The sequence below is a fragment of the Homo sapiens genome, chromosome 7, assembly GCF_000001405.40.
Source record: "Homo sapiens chromosome 7, GRCh38.p14 Primary Assembly".
NCBI classification, from domain to species: Eukaryota; Metazoa; Chordata; class Mammalia; order Primates; family Hominidae; genus Homo; species Homo sapiens.
This window is the reverse complement of record NC_000007.14, coordinates 1254000-1262718: the sequence shown is the minus strand read 5'-3', so window position 1 is coordinate 1262718 and position 8719 is coordinate 1254000. Positions and strand designations below refer to the sequence as shown.

The following is an 8719-nucleotide window of genomic DNA, read 5'->3' as shown; positions in this document are numbered from 1 at the left end:
TGGGGCCTCTGCCTGCCTGACGCGGCCCCTGCTGCTGGCCTCCCCTGCGCCCTGTCCTGCCCAGCGCAAGAATTGGTGAGCAGGGTTGGGCTGGCCCACACTCGTGCCAGCCCTGGGAGTCCAGAGGGACCAGCTCAGCTCCTCCACTAACTCTCAGGGCCTTTGGCCCAGCTCATGGTGGGCAGGACGGGCTTCCCCACAGGAGACGAGGGGCCTCCGAGGGTGGCCATGCCCGTTAGAACCACTTTCCAGCTTTCCAGGTCCCCAGGCCCCGTCATTAAGAACCTGTCACCAGGAGAAGTGTCTTCCGTGTGCAGTGGCCTGCCCGGATGGAGAGCTTTGCCTGTTTCTTTTTTTTTTTTTTTTTTTTTTGAGACAGAGTCTCACTCTCTTGCCCAGGCTGGAGTGCAGTGGCAGGATCTCGGCTCACTGCAAGCTCCACCTCCCAGGTTCACACCATTCTCCTGCCTCAGCCTCCCAAGTAGCTGGGACTACAGGCACCCACCACCACGCCCGGCTAATTTTTTTTTGTATTTTTAGTAGAGATGGCGTTTCACCATGTTAGCCAGGATAGTCTCAATCTCCTGACCTTGTGATCCACCCGACCCGGCCTCCCAAAGTGCTGGGATTACAGGCGTGAGCCACCGCGCCCGGCCGGAGCTTTGCCTGTTTGTTCCCTGCCGCGTCCCTACCCCCTAGAACACGGCCGGGCCCACAGCGCTGCTGGATGGATGGATGGATGGATGGATGGATGGATGGATGGATGGATGGATGGACGGACGGATGGATGGATGGGTGGGTGGATGGATAGATAGATGGATGATGGATGGAGCGCTCTTCTGCTGACAAACCCAGCTGGCACCGCCCATCGAGGAGACTTGCCTGATGACTGGGACTGTGTGAGTTTATGGCCCTGCTCTGAGCCAAGACACCCACTTTACAGATGAGAAAATGGCCCTTGCAGGCTGGAGACAGGGCGGGACCCACAGCAGGTCCAAGGTTCCATGCCGAGAGCCCCTCTGATGCTCTGCAAGCCCCCCCTGCCCCTGCCATCCTCCCAGTCCGTCCCTGCCATCCTCCCAGTCCATCCCCTGCCATCCTCCCAGTCCGTCCCCTGCCATCCTCCCAATCCATCCCCTGCCATCCTCCCAGTCCGTCCCCTGCCATCCTCCCAGTCCGTCCCCTGCCATCCTCCCAGTCCGTCCCCTGCCATCCTCCCCTGCCCGTGCCATCCTCCCAGTCCATCCCCTGCCATCCTCCCAGTCCGTCCCCTGCCATCCTCCCAAACCATCCCCTGCCATCCTCCCAACCCGTCCCCTGCCATCCTCCCAGTCCGTCCCCTGCCATCCTCCCAGTCCGTCCTCTGCCATCCTCCCCTGCCCCTGCCATCCTCCCAGTCCATCCCCTGCCATCCTCCCAGTCCGTCCCCTGCCATCCTCCCAGTCCGTCCCTGCCATCCTCCCCTGCCCCTGCCATCCTCCCTGTCCGTCCCCTGCCATCCTCCCAGTCCGTCCCCTGCCATCCTCCCAGTCCGTCCCCTGCCATCCTCCCAGTCCATCAGGAACTCCAGACTAAAAGGCATCACCCCCTCCCCCCGAGGCCAAAACCACCGCAGGGCCTGACCTTCCCCAAGGCCTGGAGGTTCAGCAAGGCTGGGGTGAGGGGCTGAAGAGTGTCTTGCTAATAATTTAGCAAAACGGAGGTGGAGAACGCCAGGGAGGGAGGAGAAGGAGACGGAGAGCAGCAGAAAACATTCCCAGCCAATCACTTTGATGTTCGGTCCATGAAACTTCTCAAATTATAAAAGAGAATCACTTTTGAGCCTTTAAGTGGCTCCGAATAAACCGACTGTCCAAAGATACAATGAAAAACCGACACCAGCTCTCCGTAACAAGGCAGGAAAAATTGTCAGCACTGAGATGAATATTCAAAGCCCTATCCGTGAAAAACACCCTGGAAATATGTTTTAAAGGAGCAGCGTGAGGGAAGGTGATTACGAGGGCGATTATCTGAGGCAGCTGGAGAGGCCAGGCCGGGCACCCGCAGGAGCCGCTGCTCCCAGCGAGGACAGAAGGCGAGAAGTGGGAGAGTCCACGGCCGCGGGGAGAGGGGAGGTGGGCGCCGAGGCCGGTCTGGGTCTGCAGGGGACCGTGCACCTGACCAGGGGTCACGGGTCTCCTCACGCTCCTGGGCACAGCCGTGTCCTCGCCACCTGCCGCACTGCAGACCTCCTGTTTCTCCTGCCCCATCCAGCCTCAGAACACGTGGTCAGGGCAGGGCTGGATGCACCGGCTCCCCTGTGCCAGCCCTAGCTTGGCCGCTGGCTCCCCGGTGACCGTGGCCGCCTCACCTCTCTCTGGCCTTGGTTTCCTGGGCCGGATGGGTGAGCCTGGGGTGCCTGATGGGCATCTGGGCTCTTTCTCCAGGGACAAGTGGAGGGGACGGGGCGGTAGGTGCCTCAAGTCCTGGACTGCAGGGGTGTGGGCTCCTTTGGGGACTGGGGGCAGGGGGAGAGAGAGGCCCATCGGGAGGACGGTGAGAAGCCCTCAGTGGGTGCCCCCCTCCTCCTGTGCTGGCACCCACAGCCCAGCCCTGCTGACCGGGACCTTACTCCACACCCCACGCCCATCCTTACCCCCCGGGGCTAAGACTCACTGCCCATGCCATCTCCCCCTCCAGCCCTCCACTCACCCCCACCCCCGCACACCCCAAGCATGTTGGCGCCTGGGGCCCAGGGGCAGCAGGCGGGGTGGCGGTGCACACGTTGCACCCAGGACCACCACGAGGGAGGAGGCCACAGGCCCTGCTTTCAGGGGACAAAGAGGCTGTGACCATCGGACTCTGCTGGCTGCATACACAGGACCCGCGCTGCAGGGAGCTCCTGACCCAGGCCCGGGACAGCCACGAGCCAGAAGCCCCTGGAGGCCTGTCCTGTGCAGAGGCCTGGCCACCCTCCCTCTGCTCACACTCGGGGTCTCCCTCGGGGGAGTCGGATGGCAGGAGGACCCTCTAGGCCCCCTTAAAGGTCACCACCTTCTCCCAGTGGCCCTGTTGAGGGAACCTCCAAGCTCCTCCTATAGCCCGGCTCCCCGTGGGCTCCCGTGGGCTCCTGGATTGCAGCAGGGTCAGCCCCTCTCCCGCCCCTCCCTAACAGCCCCCGTCAAGCAGGCACTTGACAAACCAGTTTTGGGTGAATGTCACCCTTCAGCCCTGCACCGTCTATACCCATCCAGACAACCCTGCAAACAGCCCCTCCACTGTTAACATCCAGGGTTTTTAATTAATTTATTTTATTATTATTTGTTGAGACAGGGTCTCACTCTGTTGCCCAGGCTGGAGTGCAGTGGTGCAATCACAGCTCGCTACAGCCTCCCACTCCTGGGCTCAAGTGATCCTCCTACTTCAGCCTCCCAAGTACCTGGGACTACAGTGTGTGCCACTATGCTCAGTTAATTTTTTTTTTAATTAAAAAAATAAAACACATTTTTAGGCCGGGCGCGGTGGCTCACGCCTGTAATCCCAGCACTTCGGGAAGCTGAGGAGGGCAGATCATCTGAGGTCAGGAGTTTGAGACCAGCCTGCCCAACATGGCAAAACACCGTCTCTACTAAAAATACAAAAATTAGCCAGGTGTGGTGGCGGGCACCTGTAATCCCAACTACACGGGAGGCTGAGGTAGGAGAATAGCTTGAACCCGGAAGGCAGAGGCTGCAGTGAACCAAGATCATGCCATTGCACTCCAGCCTGGGTGACAGACCAAGACTCTGTCTCAAAAAAAAAAAAAAAAATGCCAGGTGTAGTTGTGAATGCCCATAGTCCCAACTACTTGGGAGGCTGAGGCAGGAGAATCGCTTCAGCCCAGGAGGCAGAGGTTGCAGTGAGCCAAGATCGTGCCACTGCACTCCAGCCTGGGTGACAGAGTGAGACTCCACCTCAAAAAAAAATAATGTTTTTTTGTAGAGATGGGAGTCTCACAAAGTTGTCCAGACTGGTCTTGAACTCTCAGCCTCAAGGGATCCTCCCACCTTGGCCTCCCAAAGTGCTGGGATTACAGGCATGAGCCACCATACCTGTCTAGTTTTTTTTAATTTTTGTAGAGACAGGGTCTTGCTATGTTGCCCAGGTTGGTCTCAAACTCTGGGCTCAAGGGATCCTCCCATGTGGGCCTCCCAAAGTGCTGGGATTACAGGTATGAGCCATCCTGCCCAGCTGTATACAGGTTTTAGAGAAGAGGTCTAGGAAGCTTCAAGAGGGGCTGGGCTGTCATCTCAGCACTTTGGGAGGCTGAGGTGGGAGGATCACCTGAGCCCAGGAGGTCAAGGCTGCAGTAAGCTATGGTCGTGCCATTGCACGCCAGCCTGGGCCACAGAGCAAGATCCTGTCTCTAATAAATAAATGAATAAGGAAACTTCAACCGGTTAAGTAATTTGCAGTTGAATTCCAGCTCAAGGCTGCAGGTTCAGAGTCTGGTGGTCCTTCCCGGCCTTGGGATCAGAGAACCACATCCTAGAAGCCCAGACCTTGCCTCAGTGCACAGACCCCGCCTCAGTGCACAGACCCCATCTCCCGACTCCCAGGCCCGGGCTCCCTCTGCAGGGTTCTTCCCTGAGAACCCCAGATTAGGCACAACAGGCAGACGGGGTGGGTTTCTGGGAGTCCCTGGGGCCTGAACGGCGTCCCGGGGTTGCGGGGCAGGGGGTGGAGTGGGGGGCAGCCGTCGTGTTTTGCCCTCTGCGCTGTTCCTTGTAATTAAGAGTAAACTTTGTAGCAATGTCTCTCTTTCCGATGTTGTCTCACTCTGCCTCCCAAATGATAAATTGTTAATGAACACCTGTTACAATGCTAATGAAAGTGGGATCCATATGTAAATAAAGAAAATTTAATAAGTTAACAAGGTGGATTAAAATGCCTCAACCTCCTCCTCGGCAGCTAATCTGGACCAAACGCGAAACAGGGGCCGTCTAAGCAGAACCGCGGCGTGCGCCATCACCTCCGCACACTTTCCAAAATATAATTAATATTTTAAAAATTCATAAAACTGAAATCAGAGGTCTTGATTGTAACAAACAAAATATCCATCTTTAGTCTGCTACCCAGGGGCCAACCAGGCCCTCCTCCCACCACCTTTTCCTCGCTTGGAAAATGCAAAAGAGGTTCCAACTTGGGAGCCGCTGGCCGGGAAGGCGGCGGTGCCCTGCACGAGAGCTCTGGGTGCGAATCCCGAGCCGGCTCCTGGGCACCTCCCTCAGCCCCTATCCTGCAGTAGGGTGGGCTGCCGGCCTGGGCACTGACAGCCTGCCCTTCCAAACAGGGTTTTCCTCCTTGTCTCCTGCCCCATGGCGGCCTCAGGGGGTAACCACAGCACCCTGGACTCAAAGCCCACAGAAGAGAGTTTTAGGTACCTCTGAGGCCAGGCTGAGATTCTGGCCTGGGGAGCAATGGGCTTGGAGCAGACGGGAGCTTGGTGATCTCTGTTCCCAGGCTGCAGCCTCTCCACTTTACAGAAGGGGTCCCTGAAGGCTGGGGGGCCTTGCACTGCCCAGATCCTCATTGCCACACAGGAGGGGCTGGGCCTGACCCTAATCAGCTCCCAGCTACTGACCAGCGGGCCAACCTCTCTGAGCCCCGGCTTTCCCTTCTAGAAAACAGGAATGAGACAGGGCTCACTGCACAGGGCCCAGTGAGTGGCTCATGCCCCTTGGCGGGGAGGCAGGGCAGGGTCCCAGGTGGGGCCTGGTGCAGGCAGGGGGAGGGGACACACAGCAGCACCTCCTGGGGATCTGCCACCTCATGTGGGCTGGGAGCGGGCAAGGTTTGGGGATCCAGGCCCCTTCCCTGCAGCACCCTCCGTCCACCCTGGCCCACCCGGTGCCCTGGGGCACAGCCACCAACCCATTGGCCCTTCTGTTATTCTCGACCCGTAGGGTGCATGGGCTGCTGTTCTGGGGCAGGAGCCGCACCAGCCTCTCACTGCTGCAGCCCTCAAGCTGTCCTCGGTGACAGTCCCTGGATGGGGCGACAGTGCCCTGGCACAGGTGGAACTTTCAGGATGAGCTCTGCCCAATCCCACCTTCCCACGGACCAGGAGAGACGGAGGGATCAGGCAGCAGGACCCAACAGCTCAGCCTCTGCTCTGCGCCCCTGCCCGCACAGGGACTCTGTGCTCAGGGAGACTCCATTATGCTCCAACTGTGTACCGGGCACCATCCTTTGTGCCAGACGCACAGGGGGACCAAGCCAAGACCCTCCCCTTATATTGGAGTTGGGGAGCCAGAGAATGAGCAAGTAAGTAAACGAATATAAACTAGAATGAACCCCAAGTAGGCAGAAGTGCTGGCAAGGTACGGGGAGGAAATGAGTTGGGAGTTCACGGGCCAGGGACGCAGAAGGTGGCTGGTGGCATTTTAGCTGGGGCAGGCAGGCAAGGTGACATCCGGCAGAGACCTCGCTGGAGCACGGGAGCACGTTACACGGACACCTGGGGGACGCGTGTTCCAGAAGGAACCACGCAGACTTAGGCAGGATGAGCTGGTGTGCGTGGGGAAGGCGGGAGGCTGGGAGGCTGGGGAGGAGCCCCTCGGGCGCGGTGGAGGTGAAGTGGGGGCAGGGCCGGCCGGGGGCTCTCTGGGGTCCGTCCAGCAGCTTCTCGCTCACCTGGGGACTCTCCCTCAGGGTGGACCCAGCTGCTGGCCCCTGGAGCCGAAGCCCTGGAGGTTTGGTGTGTAAACCAGAGCCCCTGGCCCGCCTGCCTCTGATCTGCCAGCAATGTAATGCATCACGTGCCACCATGCGTCCAGCCATTTTTCATCGCTTGACCTCACTTTTAATTAGAGACTAAATTATTCATGCCGTTTGATGGGAGACAGAGCGCTTGGGAGGTGCCTGGGCCCTGGGCCGGCTCAGCCGGGCTGGAACCAACCCTTCGAGTCAAACATGAGCGGCAGGAGGAAAACAGTCTTCCTGCAGACTGCCGCACCCTGCACCGACACCTGCCCGCCGGCGGGGCTGGGACCCTCACCCCCTCTGAGGATGCAGCATGAGATGAAGGGGAGCCTGCTGTGCCCTGGAGGGGCTGGGCTGCTCCTCTCCCAGCACCCCAACCTCAGGAGAGAGATACCCGGGCCTGGCCATGGGGCAGGGCTGACTGGCTGGGCACCCCAGCCCCGGTCACTCAGCCTCTTCCTCCTGACTCTTAGCCAGGCTTTGGGGGCCTCACGGGACCGGGGAGAGGGCAGGAGGCCTCCCAGGAAACCCAGGGCTTTGGCTGAGGACAATGAGGAGAAGCTCACCTGGTGCCTCCCCCTCCCCTCCTGTCCCCATGGCTCTGCACCCCTGAACTGAGGACCGACTTCCACTGTTCTCCAACACGGGGTTAAGGAGTGTCCGGGAGACACCAGGATGTCGCCTGGAGGAGGAGAGGCTGCGGAAACTCCGCCCAGCACCTGCCACACAGCCTTGCCCTCAGAGCAGGCCCCAGGCCGGAGGGCGACTGGAGCTGTGGTCACCAGAATGTGCCCCAGGCCAGGCCAGCCCCGCCCCAGGGCAGGGGAGGAGGGGCTTCCCCAGGATAGGGAGATCCTAGGATTGTGCATTCACAGACCCAGAGGTGAAGTCTGGGGTGGCCCCCCTGAGGCCAGTGTCAGCACCCCCGTATTAGAGACAAGGAAGCCAAAACCTGAGCTTCTGGAACTGCCCTGAGACCCCACGAGGAGGGACCAGGGTGGAGAAGCAGGAACTTAGGCAGGCGCCTCCCGCTGCGGCCCCTTCCAGCCCCCACCCGCCCTCCCACATCCTCCCAGGCACCTTGGGGCCAGCCCCTCCGCCCTGAGGAGGATGCACACTGCAGAAGCCTCTGGCTGCAGGGCTACACACGCCCGCCTTCGAATCCCTCGTCAGCCCCTGCCCAGCTGTGTGTCCTCGGGCAAGTGTCCACACGTCTCTGAGTTTCTGCTTCCTCTGATGTAAAAACAGGCCCCCTCTATCAGCCTCTCAGAGATGGCAACAGGCCAGGGGACATGAGGCCAGGAAAGGACTTTTGAACTCTCGGGCGTCTCCAAGGGTGGAGCTCGCGGTTGCTCCTGGGTGGGGGGGACACCAGGCAGGGGGCTTACTCTGCAGTTTCCTCGGGCTGCAGGAGGGACGTGCGGGTCCCAGAGGACCAGGCTCTGGGTGCTGGGAGGAGGGGATGACAGAGTGGGGAGAGGAAGGCTTCCCATGGGCATTCACCGCCCACCCCTGCCCCACCACGCTGAGATTTCAGTGCACGTGGCCCCCATCTCTGCCCCAGCAGACTGACGCCTTTTTCCCGGGGCATTGAGAAGGTGGTCCGCCGCGTTCCCACGGTGGCCCCCCGGCAGCCTGCAGGGGAATAAATCAATCTGCTGGCGGTGGGTGGGGAGGGCCGCTGGGGACGGAGGCCACGTCCTGCCTCTGGGTGGGGGTTTCCTCCCCCCACAGGAGCGGAATTTGTCCACACTGAGCACCTAGGAAGTTGTCCTTTTCTCTGCAGTATCCGGAAGAAAATAAATTAAATGCAACAAGATTGTTCTAAAGCGCCATCCCCGTAGCGTCATCGAGCTAAATGACAGATGTTTCACTCTGAAAAGTGGCTCTAATGCCTGTGCTGTAACTTTGTCTCAAATGATTTCAGCAGACACCAATAGAGGGGCCCCGCGGCGCAGCCTCGCCTGCCACAGATGCAACATGGGAGGTGTGCGGG

At 59.9% G+C, this 8719-nt stretch overlaps 2 annotated features.

Annotated features, from left to right (window-relative positions):
* Window positions 1740–1940: a silencer, noted in NCBI's record as "peak6338 fragment used in MPRA reporter construct". NCBI's record gives its function as "represses an SCP1 promoter by STARR-seq MPRAs in K562 erythroleukemia cells {active_cell/tissue: K562}" and the evidence as "EXISTENCE:reporter gene assay evidence [ECO:0000049][PMID:32103011]".
* Window positions 7808–8308: an enhancer, noted in NCBI's record as "H3K4me1 hESC enhancer chr7:1294047-1294547 (GRCh37/hg19 assembly coordinates)". NCBI's record gives its function as "activates a minimal SCP1, AML or CMV promoter by ChIP-STARR-seq in naive H9 embryonic stem cells {active_cell/tissue: H9 hESC(naive)}" and the evidence as "EXISTENCE:reporter gene assay evidence [ECO:0000049][PMID:30033119]".